The sequence below is a fragment of the Homo sapiens genome, chromosome 4 (genome assembly GCF_000001405.40).
Source record: "Homo sapiens chromosome 4, GRCh38.p14 Primary Assembly".
Taxonomy (NCBI): Eukaryota; Metazoa; Chordata; class Mammalia; order Primates; family Hominidae; genus Homo; species Homo sapiens.
In genome coordinates, this window is record NC_000004.12 from 94,233,614 (window position 1) to 94,259,390 (window position 25,777).

At 35.2% G+C, this 25,777-nt stretch overlaps 1 protein-coding gene across 32 annotated transcripts in view; it reads left to right on the top strand.

Moving 5' to 3' along the window:
* The window catches only part of SMARCAD1 (SNF2 related chromatin remodeling ATPase with DExD box 1), an 83,685-nt gene that overhangs the window by 26,006 nt on the left and 31,902 nt on the right, over window positions 1–25,777 (top strand). For 24 of the 32 annotated variants that reach the window (NR_164729.1, NR_164722.1, NR_164734.1 and 21 more), the window contains 6 exons: window positions 341–509; window positions 3,339–3,405; window positions 7,293–7,393; window positions 16,041–16,142; window positions 17,139–17,220; window positions 19,003–19,394. Coding sequence is in view for 9 of the 32 variants with exons in the window: in NM_001128430.2 (NP_001121902.1) it covers window positions 341–509; window positions 3,339–3,405; window positions 7,293–7,393; window positions 16,041–16,142; window positions 17,139–17,220; window positions 19,003–19,394 (913 nt within the window). In the remaining 23 variants the exon portion in view is untranslated. Of the gene's footprint in view, window positions 1–340; window positions 510–3,338; window positions 3,406–7,265; window positions 7,394–7,431; window positions 14,941–16,040; window positions 16,143–17,048; window positions 17,221–19,002; window positions 19,395–19,695; window positions 20,059–25,777 lie in introns of those variants that run through there. The other 8 variants (NR_164724.1, NR_164737.1, NR_164726.1 and 5 more) reach the window with 5 other exon arrangements.

The window sequence follows — 25,777 nt, forward strand, 5'->3', positions numbered from 1 at the left end:
CATAGAGAGTATTGGTGAAAGAAGATGAGTAAAGAGGAAGTGGGCATGCAATAAATGCGTGTGAGTCCTAACAAAATAAATGCTAGGAAGTTCCTTTTGTTCGTTTCCATCCCAGCTCAGGGTTGAGATTTTTTCAGTGTATACTGATGTTGGTAATGCAGATTTTTCACATAACTACACTGAAATGGAAAAAAAAGGTCTCTTTCTGACAAGTATAGATTGCATTTACTATTGAAAAGAACTGCAGATGTGTTGTACTATGTATACACATAGACACTATAATGAAATAACATTAGTAATACATTAAAAATGTTTTTTGCTCCTCTAAAAATATTTTTAGTTCTGAGCCATCTGAAGATGAAGAGTCCCAAGGCCTTCCTACCATGGCACGTAGAAATGATGATATTTCAGAACTGGAAGACCTTTCGGAATTGGAAGACCTTAAAGATGCTAAACTTCAGACTTTGAAGGAACTTTTTCCACAAAGAAGTGACAATGATTTACTTAAGGTTATATTCATTGGTTATTGTAGCTGTAATGATGATAAAATCTCTCCTGCATTCAGTGCTATAGTTAGTAGTGGATAGTCATTTTTCTAAAGATATCTTACGTTTGAAGATATTAACTATTAAATCTAAAGGAAGTAAATGCCAGACATTTATTTATTGAAAGTCTTAACTTTTTAATAGATGAGGTTATTTATTTGTAAATAGTGCAGTAATTAAAGCCTTAATAGCGAACATAGGTTGTGAGTTTTTTTGTGTTTGAATGTTTCTAAAATGCATAACCTCCCCATTTCCATTAGAAATACTCAGAAATGTCAGGAACCACCTCACACAACTGTGACAAGGGTTTTTAGTGGCATTTAGTGCCCTGAAGCCAGCGATGCTAAACACCCTGCAGTACTAAGGACAGTCCATAACTAAGGATAGTCCTGCCAGTAGCACTCTTGCTGAGAAATATTGATTTAACTACAGAAACAAAGGAGTATAGTTGAAATGTAAAGTGATGTTTAGGTATCTCTAATTATAAGAGTAAATAAAAATTGACCAATTTAGTTTTAGGTAGAGAATAAATTTCTGAAGATTAATAAACAGTCTGTTCCTAGCTCTGCCACTTATTAGTTGAATTATCTTAGGGGAATCATTTAATTGCAGGTCCTTTGTATTTTCACCTTTGTATCTGTCTTCGCTGCTACCACTACCAGTTCTCCTCCTCACCATATGAGGCTTAGGAGTTACCATATCTGTATGGACTAGGCAGGTAACTTTGAAGTGGTAGAGACTAGTATACTATAGAGTACATATTCTTTTTTAAAGGGGTAGCTGCTGTCTAGCTTCAGCAGGACATGGCCATGTGAGCTGTCAGTGATAGCCCATTTTTACTGGATACTCAGATTTTTCAAATAAAGCCATAAGGCTGGATTTTTATTGAGGGTTGGTCACCACTTTAACAGCTATATTCCTATGCCTAAAATCACCCATTTAAAATATACAATTTTGTGGTTTTTACTATATTTATGAAATAATGCAACTGACTCCCAAAAGAAACCTTATATCCATTAGCAGTCACTCTCCAGTTTTGTCCCTCTCCCAGTCCCAGGCAACCACCAATCCTTTTTTTTTTTTTTTTTTTTTTTTTTTTTAGCTTATTGTGGATATTTCATATAAATGGATTCAGATATGTGATATTTTGTGACTGGCTGCTTTCACCTAGTGGAAAAGATTCGTCGCTGTTGCAGGATGTACTTTGTTCCTTTTAATGCTAACTAATTTAAAGAAAGATAAAAATAAACATGCTATTCAAGCCAAACAACACATGTCTGTGAACCATAGGTGGTCCTGTGCCTGCCAGTTTAAGTGTAGATTACATTATTTTTAATCTATGTTATTTTTGACATGAATCCACTGGATTTTTTTCCACCCAGATCATTTTGATACCATCTTACTATTAGCTAAATGAAACTTTAGTGATATCTTGAGTCTACATTTTCTCTGACAGCAGTGTTACTTGTCTGCTAATGTGAATTTTTTTTTTTTTTTTTTTTGTGGAAACAAATGTAGACATGAGGGCTAAAGTATTTTAAAGCAGTAATAAGGAAAGAGCTTCTAATAGAATAAACATGGAGTATTAAAATATTCAACATAAAGGGCCAAATCTCAGTTTAAAAATACTTTCACTTGATTGCCAATTTTTAATGTAGTTCAGAGTTTTTTTCTTGTAAAAATCTTTCTAATTTTGTAATTTTATTGGAAAAATAAGATTGATATGCATAATTTCCCTGAATGTTTCATAAATCAGTATCTGAAATTGTGTAATTTAGTATATCACACACTCCAGAGCACTCTCTTGAAGTAATCTCTATTTCAAGTGATCCCCTTCAGTTCTAGAAATTTAAAGGTAATGTTTATAAATTACTCAACAAAAGGTTTTAAATCCATGTAAAAGAATTCAAGAGGTTGTGAAATAGTTCTAAGCTTGCTAAGAATATGCTTTGGCTATTTTGAAAATGAAGAAGGCCAATAGGATATATCTTAGCATCCAAGATTAGGAAAAATTAGTGTGGAAGAGAGCACTTTGATTTGAGGCTACTTGATTTAATACAAAAAGTAGCTTATTTAAAAGTAAGATCTTTTTAAAACAAGTAACTCATTTGAAATATGGGAAGCTATAATAGGAGAAAAATAGGGGATTTTAGTTTCTTCTGAAATCTAAAATTACTGAGCAGTATAAAAACAGTATATTAGAATGATGTCATGCAAGCAATATATGCATATGTTCTTGAAAAGATTCAGACAATTCAGAAATAGAGTAAAAATTAAGAGCCCCTATCCCATTTATCTCGAGCAGTATTAGATTTTTTTAAAAGAGCAGAATTGTCCTTTTTCCCCTAGAAATTAAAAAAAAAGTAAATAGATGTCTGTCAGTCTCCTCTTTCCCCTTTCTCTCTCCATCTGACACACACACATACACAAACGTGAGCATGCACACACAGGCACGGAGTGGCCTGGACATGTTAAGTAGGAAGTTTTGTGTAAAACTTTGTAATTAAAATAGCAAAAACCTAGAAAATACTGTATATATGTGATTGTGTTTTAATTTTTCCTTTATAGTAAGAATGAGTCAACCTGATACATTTTAAAATATGCTTAAAATTCAGACCTTTTACATAAAACAGATTTTCTGAAAATTTATCATAGGACTTAATGAACTTAAACTATGACACACATACTTTCCTGTCATGTTTATATTTAATATGTTTGTTCTTAAATATTTCAGTAACTGAAATAATTCTTAAAGTGCTGATTTAAAACATTAATCTTTTCTCGTTCTGTTAGTTGATTGAATCAACAAGCACTATGGATGGAGCAATTGCTGCTGCCTTGCTGATGTTTGGTGATGCAGGTATGCTTGACTTAATTTTAAGCCATGTCGATTTATTGTTACGTCATAATAATAGTACCTTCTCATTAATATTGCTCCACAGTTTATCAAACACCTTTATGAATTCTTACAGGAATTTGTGAGGTATTAATAGTTTCACTGTTTTTCCCTAAAAAGGGAAGAAGTTTCTCACTGATAATTTTACTGCTTTTCTACCAATCAAATCTTGTAACAGTGAAGTTTTGTAGGATATATTTTCTCTCTTTTTAAAGTATAATTTCTAGTTGCATTGTGGTTTTATTATAGGTTTACGAATCTTAGTAGGAACATAATGTCTTAGGGAAAGGCGTAGCTGGTAATCAACATTCCTTTAGTAAATATTTTTTCATGTTTCAGGGGCTTGGGATACAAAAATAAATGCATTTGAATGAGCTTGCAATATAGAAGCGTGTCCAGTTTTTAAATAAATGCTGACTCGATTTTTTTTAACTTACACATACTAAAAAAAAAAAAAGTAAAAATCACCTGACCCTACTACTAAAAAAGTATTTAAATAGTGAAAGCAAACCCACACTTCATTAACCACCCTTAAATTATAACCACCTTTTATGTCATTCTCAACTTTTTTCCTGCTTATATACACTGGCATACAACACACATACATTAGGTTACAAAATGTAAATATATTGGTTTACATCTTTTAAAAAATCATATAATAATTTGTCATGGATAGCTTCACATTCCTCTGTGACTACCCACAGGATTAGTTTAACTGTTTCCCTATTAGCACTTACGTTTTCATTATTTCATTATTATAGCACTAAAGTAAATGTCCTTATACATAAATAGAACAAAAATTTCTGTTATTTATATAGGCTAAATTTCAAACTAGGATGTTCAAGCAAAGTGTATGCACATTTTAAATTTTAATATGTATTTCCATGTCCTTTTGTTAAAGGTTATGCCAGTTTATGCTTTTATCAACAGTATGTTTCTGAATGCTCATTTTTCTAAGTGGATTCTTACTACTATTAATTTTTTCGAGGTTTAAAATATGTACAAAAATACAAAACGATGTGTTCCCATGGACCCATCATTCTCCAATAATTATCCACCTCATTTTTCTTCCACTAAGTGGCCTGTATTCAAGTAGATTCTACATAAGATTTTTATTTTATCCATATGAAATATTTTAAACCTTTAATTTCCTCCAGTTTGAGCAAGGAGACAGTATTTTGTGGGTGCTACCTACAGTGTATCAAGATTCTTTTTTGTCTTCTATTTATTAATAGCTGTGTGACCTTGAGCAGTGTTGCTTGACTCTTCTGTCTTTGTTTCCTTAGCAGTAAAGTAGTATAATAGTGCCAAACTCAAAGGTCGTTGTGAAGAACTAATAATGTATACTACTTCTTATGGTGCCTGGTACATAGTGAGTGCATACCAAATGTTAGCAACTATTTGTTTAAGGGTCATCTGATGATTTAAAAAAAAAGTTAGAGGTGAATGTTAGCTGTGTCTTCCTCATTATTTCGTCCCTAGCACTTACTTTAAAAGCTTCTGAGCTAGGATTGTGCCACTGCACTGCAGCCTGAGTGACAGAGCAAGACCCTGTCTCAAAAGAAAGAAAGAAAGAAAGAAAGAAAAAACCTCCTGAAAAATGATACGCTCAGTGAACATTTGTTGAGCTGCAAAATAGCTTGGGAAGTTTTGTAGCTTCCCAATACATTCTTGCTCTCACATTATCTCATTAGTCCATAAACATTTCATTAAAAACAGGTTGTGGAATTACTTTATTCCACGGTGGTATCTAATCTTTTTTCTCTTGAGCAATTCATCTTATTCAACTTATTCATTAATTTCACAAATATTTATTATGCTGCTTTTACTAGGTAGCACAGGCTGTGGCTTAGGTACTGAGGTTACATGAGGAAACAGTGGATACAACCTCTGCCGTCATAAGAGTTTACAATCATTAAATTTATTTAACTTCAGCTGAGCTTTTTCTTATTCCATTGTACTTCAGATTATTTCAATTAAAAAAATGTTAAATGGCAAATTACAAGGAAATAAAAAATTAGGATTTTCTGGTTTTTTAATTAAACTTCCATGCTGCATCATGGAACGGACAGAACAGTCTTATCAGACATCTTCATTTTTAGTGTAGTGCACTTTGAGGTAGTATATAGAATGACAGGTTTGTCTAACCTTGAAGATAAGGTTAATCTTCAGTATACTATGTTATTGAGACAGGAAACTATACTTGCCATTTTAGGACAGTTTTCAACAAAAGACCTTTTTAAATACCTGTAAGTGATCTTTAACAGATCCAGAAATTGTGACAGTTCCCATTGTTTCTTTTAACCACAAATTGCAGTCTTAACAGACAGTATCATCCTGCGTATTAAACACTAGGGATGTTTTTATGCTGTTTGTTTTGAAAGTTTGTTTTTGAATATGAAATTACAGAAACAAAAAAATGTATATCCAAAGTTTTTACTCTACTTCAGAAGATAAGAGTACGAATTTATTGATGTTGTCCGGAGTCTCTCTAGCTGCCCTGTTGTGTTTTTTTTTTTTTTTAATTTTTTATTTTGAGACAGGGCCTCACTCTGTCACCTAGGCTGGAGTGCAGTGGTGCGGTCTCAGCTCACTACGACCTCTGCCTCCCAGGCTCAAGTGATCCTCACGCCTCAGCCTTCCAAGTAGCTGGGACTACAGGCATGCACCACCACGCCTAGCTAATTTTTGTAGTTTGAGTAGAGATGGGGTTTCACCATATTGCCAAGGCTGATCTCGAACTCCTGAGCCCCAGAGATCTGCCCACCTCAGCCTCCCAAAGTGCTGGGATTACAGGCATGAGCTGTGCACCTGGCTTCTGTTCTGTTCTTTTTAGGAAAGAATTCAGCATGTCTAGGTGATGTGGCAAGATTATCTGGTTTGAAGGTTTTTTTCAGACTTAAAATATTACATTTAGAATATTGTGGTTAGTGTTTGTAGTGACACAAATACTCTGCTTTAAAATGTTAATAACATTCCATTTTTATTTTGTAATAGCCATGTTAATGAAATTTTTAAGCTGACATGTATGTATGTATTTGAGCTGCATAGTTAGGGCTCTGATATAATTAATGCTGAAATCTTAAACCTTTGTAGTCTTTAGCAGGTGCTTTCATAGTAGCACAGCAATATGTCTGACAAACTTGTTCTCTGAAAGCAAAAGTATTTAAGAAGTAGGTAAATATATACATAATGTATACAAGCATACATAAGTAGCATATGTAGCTCTAGTTTGTTTTCTTCCAGTCACGACAATATGCAGATTTCCTGTTACTGCTGTACTCTATGTTATATTCTCTTGTTTTTACATTAAAAGCATTTGTTGCTTAAGCTCTCTGTATCTCTATCCTCCTCATTTGTGAAATAAAAATGTTACCTACTTTGTAGGTTTGTGTGTGAAAAGTAAATGAAACAATAGTTTATAAAAGACCTTGTGCAAGGCCTGGTACATAGTAGACTCAGAAATTGCTGGTTTCTGTGATGGTATTCAGATAACTTACACTTGGTGGGGGTCAGCTTTATTTCACTGCTCAACACTCAGCCACTTGGAAGAATCCCTCCCTCCTAATGTTGCTCTGTAGAATTACTCATCAATTTAGAGATGTATATTTTTAGATTAAATAATGTGATGGTTTATGAATATAGTATTACAGTGATTTCTACTTCTGAAAGACTGCAAAGAATGTTTACTTTTTTTTTCAATTCAGTCATATGTAGAACAACAAACACTGGGCCTGATATCAAGAGAACTGTCTAGTATTCATTATAATACATTTTTGCCTTTGTTTTACATTAAATTGATTTTTTGCTATTTCTGTGCAAAGTTTGAGTGTGCTGCTCTGCTTTAAAAGGTGGTGGGCCCAGGAAAAGAAAATTATCTTCTTCTTCAGAGCCATATGAGGAAGATGAATTTAATGATGATCAATCTATAAAAAAGACAAGACTGGATCATGTAAGTTTACATTTGAATTACAGTATCAAAATTGGCTGCTTAAGGTTAGGATATGTGGAGTTTGTGGATATTATTAGACCTGAAAATCCACCTAAATGAATTCCTTTCTATCACAACTAAGGGAATTTACGTCTACATTTAATTTGTGACTGTTTTTGCTTTTTAATTTATCCAGTATGAAGCCTGCTTAAGCACAGACTATTTTGTGTCTGTGGATATCAGACCTGAAAATTTGTCTAAATGAATCATTCTTTCTTTTCTTTCACAGCTAAGCCAGATAATTTGTGCTTGCATATAATTTGTGACTGTTTTTGCTTTCTTTTAAATTTATCCAGTATTAATTGCTTATCTCTGCCCTCTTCATTACATTGGGTTCTCTGAACTGTGTGCGTGTTCATCTCCAAATTTCCCCTTTTTATAAGGACAACAGTCAGATTAGGTCCCACTCTAATGACCTCATTTTAACTTGAGTGTCTCACTGATGACCCTGTCTCCAATAAGGTCACATTCTGAGGTACTGGGCATTAGGACTTCAACATTTGAATTTGGAGGGGACACAACCCATAATAGTGGTGTTTCCAGAAGCAGGTGGATAGGGAAGGCAAATTCATACTTAGAGCAGGTTATCTGTTACTATATCTTTCATGATGAATCGTGAAGGTGTAATCATCCTGCCACCAGACAGTTGACTGAATCTCCCAAGGAATGGTGCTATAATGGGAACTCGTTGGCCTCTGTTCCTTGCAGGTTGAGCACTGACCGTAACAATAGCCAGATTAATCTTGGTGTAGAAAGTCTTACCTTGTTGACTTGCATGCACAGACTCAAGCCCAGTTGCCATGGCCATTTGTAAATGGGCCTATTGAGCAGGCATTCAAGTGGCTGTGGACTTAACTGGTGTTCACAAAATGGATGATCTTGTATACCTGATCTTTAAAAATTTTCTCTGCCACGTGTGCACCCTTGGCTGAACATTCACACAAACACCGTTATCCTTCTATTCTATTCTCAGGATAACTTCTTTTTTTTTGTTTTGTTTTGCTTTTTGAGACAGAGTCTTACTCTGTCCCAGGCTGGAGTACAGTGGTGTGATCTTGGCTCACTGCAACCTCCACTTCCCTGGTTCAAGCAATTCTCGCACCTCAGCCTCCGGAGTATCTGGGATTACGGGAGTGCAGCACCACGCCCAGCTGTTTTTTTGTTTTTTTTTTAATTTTTTGTAGAGATGGAGTTACACCATGTTGGCCAGGCTGGTCTCGAACTCCTGACCTCAAGTGATCCACCCACCTCGGCTTCCCAAAGTGCTGAGATTACAGGCGTGAGCCACCACGCCCGGCTGTATTTTCAGAATAACTTATATTCTGAGATGTTCAGCAATGTACCTCTTCCCCAGACTTCCTGGTCACCAGTTTTTTAAGTCTTCTTTTTAGCCTCTGTTCCTGATACATTGCTGATCTCTACCTCTGGCCATCTCTTGGTACACAAAATGGGCAACAAGATGTACTGCCCAAAGTTGTACACAGGGCTACTCTCTGAGTTGGGTTTATATTATAGCAGTTGTTCACTTGGCTGGTTCTAAAATTATGCAAATCCTTTGTAAAGTCAAGCTGGTTCAGGCTGGGTGCATTAGCTTATGCCTATAATCCCAGCATCTTGGGAGGCTGAGGCAGGAGGATTGCTTGAGCCCAGGAGTTCAAGACCAGCCTGAGCAATATAGTGGGACTCCTGTCTCTGCAAAAAAAAAAAAAAAAATTTTTTTAATTAGCTGGGCATGCTTACATGCAGCTGTAATCTCAGCTACCCGGAGGCTAAGGAGGGAGGATTACTTGAGCCCAGAAGGTTGAGGCTTCAGTGAGCCATAATTATGCCACTGCACTCCAGCCTGGGTGACACAGTGAGACCTGTCTCACAACATACAAATGAAGTTTAAGGATTTCTTCCCTCTTTATCAGGTCATAAAGAATTTTCTCTTTTCTTTCTTTTCGAGACAGAGTCTCATCCTGTCGCCCAGGCATGATCTCGGCTCACTGAAACCTCTGCCTCCCGGGTTCAAGTGATTCTCCTGTCAGCCTCCCACGTAGCTGGGATTACAGGCGTGTGCCACCATGCTCAGTTAATTTTTGTGTTTCACCATATTAGCCGGGCTGATCTCAAACTCCTGACCTCAGGTGATCCGCCTGCTTTGGCCTCTCCAAGTGCTGGGATTACAGGCGGCAGCCACTGTGCCCAACCTATCAGGTCATAAAGAATTTTTTATAATGCCTCAGGTAATAGTTGAAGAAGGGGCAGCAGTGATGCAGAAGCAGGTACCATGAGAGTCTGAGACATCTGCACATGCAATTTATTTGTGTCTCTTGAACCTACTCAAGTCCATTCTCAAGTATACCATTTCTACTTGATGATGGGTTGCTGCTGCCAATGCTCCGTTTTAGGCTAGGTAAATCAGATACCCAGATCACATAACGGCTCAAGTCTCATGGTCATTTGATGTTCTGTGGTCAACCATTCTGCTTTTATCAGGATTTATTGTCAAGTCAATAGCTGTTTCACAAAAATACATCAGTCAGTTCTGTTTTTAAAATGTGAATTTATTCCAGTGTTAATACATTAGAGAACGATTTGAGCATAATCCAAAATTTGCATGTGCTTATGTGCAGTTTTGTCCATGAGAAATAGTAGGTGATCATAGAAAATTGCTTCCAGCTGAACCAAGCCACATAAAACACACACGTTTCCAGTATCCACTGGCTGCCTCTTTTTACCATGTATATTATCCTGTTAGGTGGTGATATGCTATTCTTTGACATTTGTGATCTTTTCTATTTGAAAAAAGCACTCATTCAACATCTCAAACCTACCTAAGCATTCTGGTTCAAAAATGCCACACAGTACATGCAGAGGGAATGTTTTGAGTATTAAGGAGAAGCTTGAAACAAGAAAACATTTGGAAAGATAAAAACATAACGATACATCCCAAGCAACAGATATAAAGGAATCCACATTATGGACCATCAAAGATAATGCCACAAAAATAAAAGTGTATGTATGGCTGGACCAGGTTCGAGTGCTGGAAAGTCCATAAGAACAAGGCATAAAGAAACAGAAGAAAAAGAAAGATTGTCAAATATTTGGATTCAAGACCAAAGGGTGAAAAACTTAAGGAACAACCTTTCTCATACAGATCTTTGTAATTATATACACAGACCTAAAATAGAAGTCACTGTACCCTGCATAAGTGGCTCCTTTTAGTGCTAGTAGTGGTTGCTTTAATGATTTCAAACAGTGCTACAGTTTCCTACAAACAATGCTACAGTTTCCTAAGCCTTTGGCTGTCAGACATAACTATTAGTGTAGATATGAAAGCTGCAAAAGAATTTTTCAGCAGTGATAGGGAAGTAAATTGAAGGCAGCTGTGCATGGTGTTAAATTCTTGGTTTTGATTAAACAAATATCTGTTATGAACGCATGCCTCGAATAACCCAAATATGAAAGACAGAAAACATGTTCTAGGATTTAAGGCTCCTAAAGGTAACATAACTGTGATATTTGGCACCAGTGCCAAATGGAGATTTGAAGCTGAAGCCAATAATGTCACTCACCAAACTTTGAGCCTTTTAAAAGATATTGTTAACGTCAGCCTTTGAGGTTCATGTCAGGTATAGCAAAAATGTATGGATGGCTGCCCACATTTGCATTTATATTTTTACTTAGTTCTTCTCTGTTAAAGAGGATGAATGCCCCAAAACATTAAAAAAAAAAAAAAACTTAACTTTAAAAATTCTTACAGTGTATCAAGCTCTCTCTCTACAAAAGCAGAATTCAACCTATGTCACATTCTTCCTTTTGCCTCCAAAAACCACCTCTCTGATAACAGCCCCTTTTTAAGTGTGTGACAGCAGTGTTTATAGCTTACTATTTAAAGTGAACATTTTAGATATTAATTGCTGTTATCTAAGGCAGGGTTGCAGAAGTGGTTACAGAATGTTGGAAGAGGTTTAACATTGCAATGTCATTGTTGAAGCCTGGAGTAATATACCGAGAGTGTTTGTGTTATGTGTGGCAGAAAATTGCCTTTGACTTGATTCTTTATTTTGAAGAATTTGATACTTCAGAGAAATTTTAAAAGTTTAAAACAAGCTATATTGATCTAAGAAAAACAGTTTGGACTCGGAGCAGTCAAAAATGAGGATATTGAGAAGTTTCTAGGGTCCTGTCCTGATGATCTAACCACAGAAAACATTCAGCAACTTGCTGCTTATGGCTGTATGGATGCAGAAGATGTCGATGACAGTGATAATGAAAGTCAGAAGTCTGTGTATGCCATGACAGTGTAATACAAATGATCAGATGTTTTAAATGCTGTGAAAATAATTGGACTGCCTTGAAGATAATGGCTTTACTGCTGAAGATATTAGGATAGTCTTGTGTGGCATCCGGATGAATTTGGAACCGTACAGGCAGCTTTAGTGTAAAAGGAGGAGGCTGGCAACACCACAGAAATTTTATTTATTCTTTATATTTTAAGTTAGTACAGCAGACATAACACAAGGACAGTGAGCTACAACCTTCTGTATCTGGTGTTAAAAATTTCCATTCATTTTCAGATAACCTGTTTTTTGCCACTTTACAATAACTCGTAAGCTGTAACTCTTCCAATGTCCACAAGCAAACTTCAGCTCATATTTATTGTAGTATTTAGGTATTAACTATTTAATGTGTGTAAAATTGTATCATTTTTATTAGATTGCCTTCTCTTTTTATATGTCACTGATGAAGTTTTTGACATTGTATCTCTAACAGTTTTTCTCCTAAAGGCTGCAATTTTTAACAATTTTGCATAATGCAGTAATTTTTGGAAATATATGTGTCACAGCAAAACTGACTGTGGTCAGTAGAAGAGGACATGATGACCTTTCTTTAAAACTCTCTAAAACGATTTTCCCACTGGGGCTTGCCAAAGACTTCATACAACATCCTTACCTGCAACAGATTCTTGGAGAATCATTGCATCTGCTGGTCACGAAACCCAAGTGGCGGAGTACCTTGTATTGCACTCTGGACCTGGTACAGAGCCGTCTCTTAACCTGGGCCCCATTCATAACTGACATTCTTTTTTTTTTTTTTTTCTTTTGAGATGGAGTCTCGCACTGTTGTCTGGGCTGGAGTGCAATGGCATGATCCTGGCTCACCGCAACCTCCGCCTCCCGGGTTCAAGCAATTCTCCCACCTCAGCCTCCCGAGTAGCTGGGATTACAGGTGCCTGCCACCACGCCTGGCTAATTTTTTGTATTTTTAGTAGAAACGGTGTTTCACTGTGTTGGCCAGGCTGGTCTCAAACTCCTGACCTCGTGATCCACCCGCCTCAGCCTCCCAGAGTGCTGGGATTACAAGCGTGAGCCAGCGTGCCCAGCCATAACTGACAATCTTAAGAGGTATTTTATAAAATGAATCAAGCAGTACACACCCTAATGAAGTATATCTTGCCTCCAGTGTGCAGTGAGCTCCCAATGTCCAGTCTAAAGAGGCAGATAGGTGCGGCCTTTCTTTTTTCTTAAGAGTGGAGTTTGCAACATGCTCCAGACTACACTCCCACGAAAGTGGTGGGCCTCAGAGTGAGGATGGTTATTCCTTCACCCTGATATGTGGCATGTACGTATCTGACCAGTACCATTGAAAATACCCACTACCTGTATCAAGTCCAGTCAACATGATGTCAGTATAGTGGATCAAGTGATACTCTCTAGACTGTGCAAAACCATCTAAGTCCATGAGTACTGTATTATTTGAGAGAGCCAGGAAAGTTACTCTAACTCTGAAGACTGAAGGTATATCATTAAACCTGCCAAGATAAAAACGGATTGTTTCTGTTTGATCTAATTGGGAAAGGGGAAAAAGCAAGTACTTGATTGATAACTGCATAGCCATATTGATTTGCTCCAGCAAAAATACCACATCCTGTAAAGCAGCTGCAGCTGGAGTTTGATTGTTTATGATACTCTTAAATACTTGCAAGACTCATCTACTTTTTGTATAGGTCAAGGAGGCATCTTACATTGGGATGGGATGGTGGTGTCAATATCTGCAGTTCCTTTAGGACTGTAGTAATTGCTTATTGTTTTGATTGAGAGGGACAATTCTAGGGACTTGGATTTGGTGTTTCCTATAATAGTAGCCCATACATCATGGGTCAGGGAACTGATATAGTATGGGATTTCTGCCAGTGCCAAATATGTCTGTTCCAACTATGATTCTGGAGATGGAAAAATAAGCACTGGGTCGAATCATATCCCTTGGGCCCGCTGAGACAGATACAGTCCCAAATTTTATCAGCTAGCTTTTGTAAAGTGTCTGTGTAACCTCCTGGACCACATGAGTATATTCAGTCACCAGGGATAAGCAGAGCTGGCATAAGTGTGGGACCCAAGAGCAAACAACACATGATAGGCACACCATCTACTAAATATTTGATTCCGAAGAGCTGTTTACTGTTTTCCAGATATTTTATGTATTTTTTTATTGAGGTGAAATTCACATAGCATAAAATTAACCATTTTAGAGTGAACTATTTAATGCTATTTAGTACATTCACAGTGTTGTATACCATCATTCCTGTCTAGTTCCAAACGCTGTCATCACCTCGTAATAGCATGCTATACCCATTAAGCAGTTTCTCCCCATTCCCTCCTCCCCCTAACCCCTGGCAACCGCCAATCTGCCTTCAGTCTCTGGATTTACCTATTCTGAACATTTCATTTAGGTGGAATTATATAATATGTAACCTTTTATGTCTAGCCTCTTATTTTTTAATTTCAGAAAAATGTGTTTTATTTGTTTTTTCTTTTTTCAACTTTATGTTAGAATTGGGGTACATGTGCAAGTTTGTTACAAACGTATATTGCGTGATGCTGAAGTTTGAAGTATGAATGAATCTGTCACCCAGATAGTAAGGATAGTACTCCATAGGTAGTTTTCCTTAACTCTTCCCCCACATCCTCCCTCCGCCTTCTTGTGTTCCCCAGTGTCTGTTGTTCTCATTTTTATGAACACGTGTACCCAATGTTTAGCTCCCATTTATAAGTGGGAAATGTGGTATTTGATTTTTCTGATTCCACATTAGCTTGCTTAGGAAATGGTTTCCAGCTACATCTGTGTTGCTGCGAAGAACATGATTTTGTTCTTTTTTATTAGCCTCTTACATAGCATAATGCTTTCAGATATACTACAATGTTCATTCATGTTGTGGTGTGTATCAGTACTTCATTCTTTTTTATGACTTAGTGATATTCCATTTTATGTGTTTACCACAATTTGTCCATGACGCACATTTGATATATTAACAAATGAACAACTGAAGTTTAGTTTTCACTTATGTAGTGAAAAAGCAGTGGTCTAGAGTTAGATACTTGGATCTGTTCCCTCCTCAGCTGGTTGTTGTCCATCTGTGAGCTTTAAAATACTGTTCTTGGAATTTCAGTGTGCCTGGGCTGTAAAGGTGGCAGTATGAATTTTGAAGATTTTGAAATGGTTTCTCCAGATGGGTTTCACCAGTATGTCTTATTATTCCCCTGCTCAAAATCCTGTTGCTTCTTAAAAAAGACTAACCTTAGGCTTTATTCCATGTTAGCTCTGGTTTAATTCTTCATCCTTGTAACCTATTAACATTCTCTGCATTTGAGCCCAAGTAGACCACTTAGTATTATGAAACACATGCAATTTTCTTCTTTAGTCCAGATATCCATAGCATTTTATTGGTCTCTGTTTTATGAAATTTTATTTTACTCCATTGTGCAGAGGAGGTATCAGAATTTAGTTATTTCTATCTAAGGTACTGAAAGAGAAAAATAGCAATTCAGTTGTTGGATAATAAAGGAGGTTGAAGAAGAAGATTGTATTTTTCTCCATCTTGTGTGTATAGCATGTGGTGCAGTTCTAAGCAGAGTAGAAAAATGCTTTTTGATTGACTAAAATTTTTCCTATGCATGAACACAAGGAGTCTTTTCTTTTTGCTTAAATGTGGACTTTAACCAGTTTCTTCAAGTGAAGTTAAGTGACAGAGAAGAAGGAAAAGTGAGACTATGTATAGCCACAATTCTCATATTAATTAATCTGTTCGGTTTATACATTATTTAGTTCCACTTAAATTCCTTTTATCATTGTTTCAGTTTTATGTTGTGACTGAACAATTAATATTTAAGCCATTCTGTGAATCAAGAGTGAAGTAAAAGTAAACTCTTCTCAGAATTTGAAATTTATAGGTGGATATATAATAGTGAACATAGATGAGATATTTGTATCCTTTTAAAATTTACCGTTGTCTTGGAGAAGGCATCAGTATACTTGAATTATATTGAGTTAATTTGAGGATCATTCTAGTTTTTTAGGAGATTTATCTCATTTTAAGCACTGAGAATAAAGTTTGAGTTACCGGATATGCAATCAGGGTCTTTCAGTGATCTTAAGTCAGCAATATTTTTCATCCTTAAAGACATAAATATGTCAATGTTCACAGAAACAAAAAGAAACAGTTTGGATTCTTCTGACTGATGATGATAATTTTCAGATCAAGTCAAAATACAATGATAATTGCCTTAAGACCATTGTTATTGATATCTCTTAAATTGTTTTCTTTTTTTTTTCTCCCCATTAGGGAGAGGAATCAAATGAGTCTGCAGAATCTAGCAGTAATTGGGAAAAGCAGGAAAGTATTGTACTGAAATTGCAAAAGGAATTTCCCAATTTTGATAAACAGGTGAGTAGTCGTGTATGAAAATTTAATCAGTGTGTACTAAGTGTTTTTATTATAAAATAGTGTTAAGAGTTCAACCACATAAAAGCTTAGGGTGAGTTTTGTATTCTTCTAATTAAATGTTCTCCTTTTATCAATGTTATAAAGTATTTTCATACTGTTTATTTATGTTGTTTATTTACCTTGTTTACTATAGTATCTATACTGTATCCCTAAGTCATTAAAAAATAACCGTAATAAAAATTGTGAACTCATTTATAACATGTAAGTCATCTAGAAAGTCATCTGTAACCCTGCCCCCATCAAGTAACTGCTTAGTTTTTTTCATGTTCTCATTCTTGAAATTTCTTACAAGAATTTAAAAAGTATTCCATTTCAGTGTCTTAATATTTTATAAGCTTTCTACTACTTCCCAGATAGTGAGAATGTTTTCAGAGTCATTAAAAAAAAAGACTCATGCCACGCATCCTGTTGCTAAAAGGCCCTCTGTTTAATCCCATGATCATATATAGAAGCACATATTTGTTTAGCATTTAGAGTACATTTACACTTGCACTGATTTATTTGAGTATATATGTTCAGATAGTACATCTACTAAATTCTGATGAGCTGAATGCAAAATCTTGTTGCAATATTGGTTCTTTACCTTTGTTGAAACTACGTTTTGAAGTTAGCAGTTTGTAAAAGCCTAGCTGCATATTGAAATTTCATTTTTAATTGAGAAAACATTTCTTGATCCTCTAGTGTTCACAGTACTTCATAGTGAGCATTAGAAATGCAAAAAAATGTCAAGTTTTCTTTCCTTTGAAGACTATTGTGTATTTGTGGAGGTGAAATTACACAGAAAGCATTTGTAAAGCAGTGTAAAAACAAGTGCAAAATAATCAGATGTGAATTCTCTGTTTTCAGGTGATTAACTTATTTTTAAAAGAGCATAGACGTTTTCTGCAAGTTGCTAATTTGAGATTTTTAACAAAAAGATAAATGACTTATTTCTAGGAACTTAGAGAAGTACTCAAGGAACATGAATGGATGTACACAGAAGCTTTAGAATCTCTAAAAGTGTTTGCAGAAGACCAAGGTAATTATTCTGGGTCATAGAAAATACATACTTCTCATTATAGTCTGTATTTTAGTATATAAGAAAATGGTATATAAGAAAAGCTATTAGCTGTTAATCAGAGGGTGGGATTGCAAAAGATGTTGAAAGTAATGATGTAAAAACATTCTTTAACAACCAGTTTTTAAATGTTTTGACCTGCCTGTTCTTTATCATAGTGTAAAACAAAACAATAAATATCTTTTTCTATTTGTTCAGTCTTTCTTAATAGTTAAGGCTACTTTTAAATTGCCATGTTTTATTGAGTGTAAAATAACCTTTTTAACAACTGTCAGGATGGATCTTGTGATTGGTGATATCATGTCATTACTGTAATGTAGATGTCTTAGCCTATACTTGCACAGATATCAAAAGCACTAGCATCAAAAACTTAAGGGTATCATAGGCATGAACACATTTTGGAACACTCTTAATTCTAGGAACCAAATGATAGAGGAGAGGTGGTAAGGAAGAGTTGAGTCATACATGTTTAGTAACATACCTAAGGAAGAATCAAGTAGACTAGCTCTTCATAATTGCAAACCCAGCATGGTAGCTTTTGGTGTTTTGGTTTGGGTTTTTTTGTTTGTTTGTTTTTAATAAATTGTTTTAAAAGGCTATACTACCAATACTGTTGATGGCACAGAAAATGATATTCTGTGGCAAAAAGAAAGCCACCAAATATGAGTTTGAAAAATGAGTCAGAAGAGCCATGTTATGAATGTGAAAACATTTGAGGAATACTTTAGCCAATTCATTTTGCTTATTTTTTATAAATGCACAAAAATAAAGGTATGATAATCTGTGTAAGTCTAATAGCTTTCTGAGTAAGTAAAAATTTCTGAATAAAGTATTGTATTATAGATTGGTGCATGTTTTCTCACTGGTACATAAAATAATGGTGTTACCTTCATTCACAGGCATCTTAGAATTCTGTAAACTGATAATCAGTGATAAAGTAGTGGGGCTTTTTGATAATACTGTATTTGAATAATTTTTTTTATTTTTTATTTTTTTTGAGACGGAGTCTTGCTCTGTCGCCCAGGCTGGAGTGCAGTGGCACAGTCTCGGCTAACTGCAACCTCCACCTCCCAGGTTCAAGCGATTCTCCTGCCTCAGCCTTCTGAGTAGCTGGGATTACAGGCATGCACCACCATGCCTGGCTAATTTTTATATTTTTAGTAGAGACAGGGTTTCACCATGTTGGTCAGGCTGGTCTCGAACTCCTGACCTTGTGATCTGCCCGCGTCGGCCTCCCAAAGTGCTGGGATTACAGGCGTGAGCCACCATGCCCAGCCTATTTGAATAATTTTTTAAGTAACGATGCAACTTAGAATATTGAAGATAGTATTGGAAAATTATGGATAGTTGAAACATACACACTTTTTATTAGTAAGCTTTATAGTAGTGTAAGCATCATTCTGCTATATTCTTCAGTGTTGGCATAGTTGAGTGGGGCTGCTAGGAATATCTGAGACATCATACAGATACGCAGCTGCCATTTGTGTTCTCAGGACCTTTGTTAGAAAACAGAGATTTATATTTAATTCATTTTAAAAACAAGTTATCACCTGCTTTTGAAACAATTGTTTAACTTCAAATTCTACTTAAGTATTTTTAAAGTGTATCAAATTTAACAATAAATTGTCGTTGAATTCTTCTGTATTCAATAGGAATAGGTAAATGTTTTAAGTTTTTATTTGAAGTCTATCTTTATATTTATGTATTTCTAATTTAGTTACTGTTTTTGTCTTTTATATACAGATATGCAATATGTATCACAAAGTGAGGTTCCAAATGGAAAAGAAGTTTCTTCAAGAAGTCAAAATTACCCTAAAAATGCAACTAAAACAAAACTAAAACAGAAATTTTCAATGAAAGCACAAAATGGCTTTAACAAGAAACGTAAAAAAAATGTTTTTAATCCAAAGAGAGTTGTTGAAGACTCTGAATATGATTCAGGTTCTGATGTCGGTAGTTCACTAGATGAGGACTATAGTAGTGGTGAAGAAGTGATGGAGGATGGCTATAAAGGTAAAATTCTTCACTTCCTTCAAGATGCTTCAATTGGTGAACTTACTTTGATTCCTCAGTGTTCTCAGAAAAAGGCTCAGAAGATAACAGAACTCCGGCCCTTTAATAGTTGGGAGGCTCTGGTAAGGCTTTATTCTTTTTTTCCCCTTGTATGTGTGTGTGTATTTAATTCACAGTACCGGTTATAGTCAAGTTGTCTTCAGCCCAGGTAAGCATAGATGGGTGGCCTTATCCTGTGTAAAGTCAAACATTACTTTCATTGTAAGCCAATAGTATTTCAAATAGTGTCATATGACCTAATTTTGAATGAATTAAGGGGTGATTTTCCTGAAAAAACCCAAGCTGATTGGCTGGGAATACTGTCACTCATTCCTTTGCATAGAAACTTCGTTCATTTCACTGCAGAAGAAGAAATTAGAGCTTACATTTAGGAAGGAGTTGTTTGCTAGCCTGTTCTGATCTGTTACTGCTGAGACACCATGCAGAAAGCAAGAATGTGGCAGAAATTTTACTACAACTACTTGAAGAGCAATAGCAACGGCCAGGGGAGCTCCATGATTCAAAATGCCAGCCTAAGTGTTTTATGCTTCACCACAAAAGAAGCAATTGTTTATTTTCTTTTTTTCTTCTAAAAGTAACAGCTCAGTCTCTAACATGTTTTTGTTGGTTAAGCAACGTGGCCATTTTATGGAGTGTAGCAGGCTGCAGCGTTTTTAATTGGAAAGATAGAAAAATTTCTGGAAGCCTATAATTCAAGCGTTAGGTGAAGGGAAGGCATAAGCACTGGTAAGTACACTTTGCATGATCATTTTCTGGAATTTGACTTTCTATAAACAGGTTGTATACAGAATACCTGCATTTTGAGTTTTATGAATGCCAACAGTCATCAAATCTTATTCATACAGATAAATATAAGAACTCTTAAATTTTGCTTCAACCCTTACGTGGGCTTTTATAGCAGGAATTGTATATAGGCCTGTTGTAAAAGCAATATGGATGATTTTTTACAGCTTTAAAAGATGCAGCGACTCTTGATGCTTTATAAAATTTTTTAGGAAGTTTTATTCCCTAAGTTAGGGAGCAAAGTTGCTTTTGTGGTTAATTTTATACTTGAAACAAATCTAAATGAGCATTAAATGCCCTGATAAGTGTCTTGAAGTGGCAATAGGGGAGAGTCCCTGAACAATGGTTGTAAATACATTTTTTTAATTAAAATATTTGAAAAATACAGAAACAACATTAATAATATTCCATAGCTTTAAAAAATAATAATAAAACCATTTGTTTTGCCTGAAGCCTTTGCTTTTCCAGAGAACATCTGTCAAAGCAGGCCCTTTCAAAACTTGTTTGGCTTTGCCTGAGTGATTTATTTGTTAAAGTATTTGCTGAAGGGCTTTCTTGTTCTTCTTTTCTTCCTTTTCTTCTTTCTTTTAATCTTTAATGGTCTCTTATGTTGTTGCAGAGTTGGGTTGCTCAGGCTTGTTGAGATTCTAATTTATTTAATAAGATATGCAATTATCTGCACTAGTTTGTTTAGTTGCTGTAAATACTTGCCCGAATATCTTATAGTAAAAGTAAATTATACAATTTTACCAGAGGTATATGTGCCAGATGTTTTTAAAAAATATTCAGCAACTTAACATGTGGAAAGCATATTTCCCCTACTAATTAATCAGCAGAGTTTAAATTAGTCTTGACATGAATTTGGAGATTATGCATTACTTACTTAAACCTCCTAACATCTTGCCCCTTTCTAAAAGTTGAACATAAAGACTATATTGTTTGTTCTAACCATCCATCCAAATGTGAAATATTTTATGTAACAGTCTAAATGTATCTGAAAAGTAAACTTTCTACTTGAGTTCAGTGAAGACAGCAAAGTAGGTGAATGAGCTTTTTCAAATTAATAGTGTAAATTAGCAAGTAAATACAGATATGCTTTAAATTTTAATTTGCTTAGAACTTTGAGCTCCTACTTTAAAAACCTTTAGAATTTTAAATGTGATTTATTTATAGAGTACTTTTTTAGCCCAAACCCTACCCTAGAGCAGATTTAATATCTTAATAAAATTATCAAAAGTCAATATTATGCATATTTTTTAGTTAAAAGCTATATAATTTGCTTTTTCCCTGTTAATCAGTGAGGTTTGATAATGTACCTCTAAACAACTTCAAAAGGAAACAAAAGCCAAAAAAATTGTTTTGTGTTGATAGCTGCCATATTTAGAAATTTCCTTGAGAATTAGTTGAGGTTTTAATCATATTGCTCAGTCATATTTTAATGAAAATTACAAGGTATTAAATATATTAAGAACAACCTGCTAACAAATAGTCTGCTCTTTCTTGAAATCATTGTTTAATCTTACTTAGTCTTAAGAATTGGGGAATTTCTATTTACAAACTGTAAAGTTCATAAATATTTCATTAAAAAATGCATACTTGAGCCCGTGAATAAAGTACATATATACAATAGTAATTTTTGTTAAAAGTGAGGTTTCTTTAACGTTGGTGATTATTAAATGATTAAATGTAATCATTAGTATTTCATTGTCTTATTATAAAAGTAATTTGAATGTGAAAATTATATTGTGCCTTTTAAAACAACATTTGAAAAGTTGTAGATCATTGGGTTGTTTTCAAGGTAGTAGACATATAAATGTAATATAAGTGTAGTAGATATATATAAAATGTAAGTATAATATACTTATTAATATTACCTACTTGGTAATCTAATTTCAGTAAGTTTAGAGGTTACTACCTTTCTATACTACTATGACTTATTTGTCAGATAATTATGCTTTTTGAAACTAAAATACTCAAGATTTTAGTCACCCTCATTTTACATGAGGAAAATTTGATTTTTTTTAAAGTATATTACCTAAAAGGATATTTATGCTTCAGCTTTATAATCATTTATTAGTCAAAATTTAAATATTGTTTTTAAATTTTTCTTCATAATTTTTTCCATTTTACTTACAGTTTTTCTGCATAATAGCAGTAATGTAGGTGCCTATTGTGAGAAAACCTCATCATTAAATCAAGTAGGGTTCAGAAATACAGCAAGCCAAAAATGTCATTAGTTTAAAAACTTGTACTGTTATTGTGGTAAAAATTGGAATTTTTATTGCCAAATTTCACACATTTGATGGCATCAGTTCACCATCCACTTACTGGATTTTTGTCTAGCCTTGCACACAGTAGGGAGGGGATATTATTATGTCTGTGAAAAATACTACTCTGTTGCATCTTTATATGTTAATCAGAGTAGTAATGTTTTTATGCTGACCAATGCGACATGCATCAGTAACTCAACCTGGAAACTTTCATATATGCATCTACTTTGTTAACATTTAGATCAGTGTAGATCCAGTTTTCCTTGGCTGATAACCAAGCAACTCAGGTTTAGTCCATGTCACACACTGTGCTCCTCATTATGTTACTCTCATCTACTAGACTGTGGATTTTCTTTTTTGGTTTTTGTTTTGTTTTGTTTTGAGACAGAGTTTCGCTCTTGTCACTTAGGCTGGAGTGCAATGGTATGATCTCAGCTCACTGCAACCTCCACCTCCCGGGTTCAAGCGATTCTCCTGCCTCAGCCTCCCTAGTAGCTGGGATTACAGGTGCCCGCCACCACACCTGGCCAATTTTTATATTTTTAGTAGAGATGGAGTTTCACCATGTTGGCCAGGCTGGGCTGGAACTGCTGACCTCAGGTGATCCACCTGTTGCGGCCTCTCCAAGTGCCGGGGTTACAGGCGTGAGCCACTGCATCTGGTCCTTTGCTTTGTTTAACTGGTGATTTCTGTAAAATACCTGGCCTAAATTGGCCACTTAAAGCATGGTAATACATATTTCTTCCTTCTGAATAAGGTGGCACCAGTGAATTTATTTGTAAGATTACTATATATTCAGGCTTTGTTTTAATTTGTGTAAGTTTGATAAGTTTGTATTAAAAAAATCTGCAAGTACATTTTGAGTACTTTGTAGGCTGCTGCCAGGTATTTATAATAATGAATAAGCTTGGGATTCTGTCCTCAGGGCTGTCTTTTGGTAAGTGGGGATTTAATGATTTGAAAATTAAATCTGCTTTTAAACAGTTTCCTCCTTCCTATGGAAATTCAAAAATATCTGTACAGTAAGAGTGACACACTGTGGCAAGAGAGTGATACTTCAGATGCTGACTGTTTTTGAAAGAAAAAAGTCCTTTGAGTAGTCACTTGAGTTTTTAATGAAGAGATATGATTGGGGCCATATTGATGAGTTTTTTTCATGTAATTATTCAGGAAGTAGCAATTAGCTTTTTAACTTTCTTCCTCCTGAAAAAAAGATTTATCATTTTTTGAGAATGATTTGTTTTACCTAAAATTGAAACAGCATGTGCAGAAATGAAAAAGTAAAGTTTACCCCAAATTCTACCAAAGATACCCACCATTTAAGGTGTTTTGAGCATCATCTATTTATGTATACATTTGTATACTTCATACCATGTAAGCAGGATCATCTTTTCTGTGGTTTTCAGTAACTTCAGATTTACTAATAGATCCCACATTTACAGGGTACTTTGTATTTCTTAAATCTTTTTTGGGGGAAAGTTAAGTAACTTACAGGATTAAGTGATTTTTGTGTTCAGAAAACAGTAACATGGTGGCAGTAGAGTGTTCTTACATCTTTCCTTAAGTGAGAGCCCCTCTTTCCCCATCCCCAAATTGTTTATTTACTTTTTGTTAATGTTTATACTTTTATTATTTACACATATACTTAGATTAACAAATAATTCTATAGGCTTGTTCTCCGCCCCCACAAAAAAAAATCTATATCCACCCTTTTCCCCAGCCTGTTGCCCATGCTGCAGATAACTTCTTTCATGACTTTTTGTCTCATTGTTCTGATCACCTCCATATCTTTATGTAATATAGTTATAATGCACTTTTTGTCATTTGTAGGTCTTATCTATCAACTTAATATTATAGACAATAGGATTTAGTTCTCACTGTCTACCTCACTTCACATGCCCATTTTCTGTTCCCCAGTTCTGTTAATATATGTTAATATGGTAATTTTGAAGATCATTTTTAGTGTCTACATTGTTATGACTATGCAAATGCCTTTCATAGATGAACCATGTAGTGTACTACATGATTTTTATTTTTTTCTCATTTTTTTTCCTAGTTGTTATTTGTCTCGGTTTTTCTCTTTATTTTCCTATATACTTGTCATTAGGTCAACTCTAAAGTCTTTTCCAGTTGCCTAAATTTCCCATCAGATTTTTTTTTTTTCTTTTCCTTCTTTCAGACAGTCTTGCCCTGTCACCCAGGCTGGAGTGCAGTGATGCGATCTCAGCTCACTGCAATCTCTGCCTCCCACGTATAAGCGATTCTCCTGCCTCACCCTCCTGAGTAGTTGGGATTACAGGCGTCTACCACCACACCCGGTTAATTTTTGTATTTTTAGCAGAGACGGAGTTTCATGATGTTGGCCGGGCTGGTCTTGAACTCCTGACCTCAAGTGATCCGCTCACCTCCACCTCCCAGAGTGCTGGGATTACCTGGGCCTGTCAGATTTTAGACACCTCTGGTAATCTGTCAGTTTCATCTCTTTTAGAAAATCAGGAATCTTATCACCTGCTCTGATTTGGAAGTGGCCTTAGCATTTCATTTTCCTGTCATCCTGGAGAATCCTTTTGTCTCTCTCATTTTGAGTCTCTTGTTTCTGAATTCAGTGCATGCCACTTTTTTTATTCCATTGGTTTTGTAAGTGCATACTAGGTGATAGATGAATAACATAGTGAAGCTAGATGACCTGATTTTGAATTCTTGTCTGTCATTTTCTAACAGCTTACATATCTGTAAGCAAATATCTGTAAGTGGGGTGTAATTATAGTGCCTGCCTATGGGAAAGTCTAAAAATTAAATGCCATCAGTTGCCTGGCTCTTTAAAAACATTAGCTGCAGATATTCACAATAATTTGCATTGCAAGTGTTGTGTATATTATTAATGAAATGCCAAGAAACTATTTGTTGTTTTCTGTTTGTCCACTAAGTTCTAGCCATATTGAATCAAACTTTCTAAAATCAAACTATTCTTCTTTTTTTGTTGTTGTTAAATATCCATGCCCACCCTATAGCTTTTTAAATCAGATTTATGGCTGGGCTTATGGGCACATTACCCACAATATATTAAGACTAACTGTTTTAGCCTCCCTTGTGATCGTTTGACAAAGTTCATTCCAATGGGATGTGAGCAGTGGTATGTTACAACTTTTGGAAAGTGTTGTTTCTTCCTGCCGGTAGAAGGGTCAATATGATGGTGGATGTTGAGGTTATTGAAGCAACAGAGTTAGAAGAATCCTTAATTTTGGAAGCAACATACCAAATCTGAATCAGTTCCTCAGATTTTTATTTACATGAGAGATTAATAACTTTATTTAAACCTGTGATATTTGGGTTTACTGTCACAGCAGAATCTAATCACAGTAAATTCATTCAATTAAACTCTTTTTCCTTTA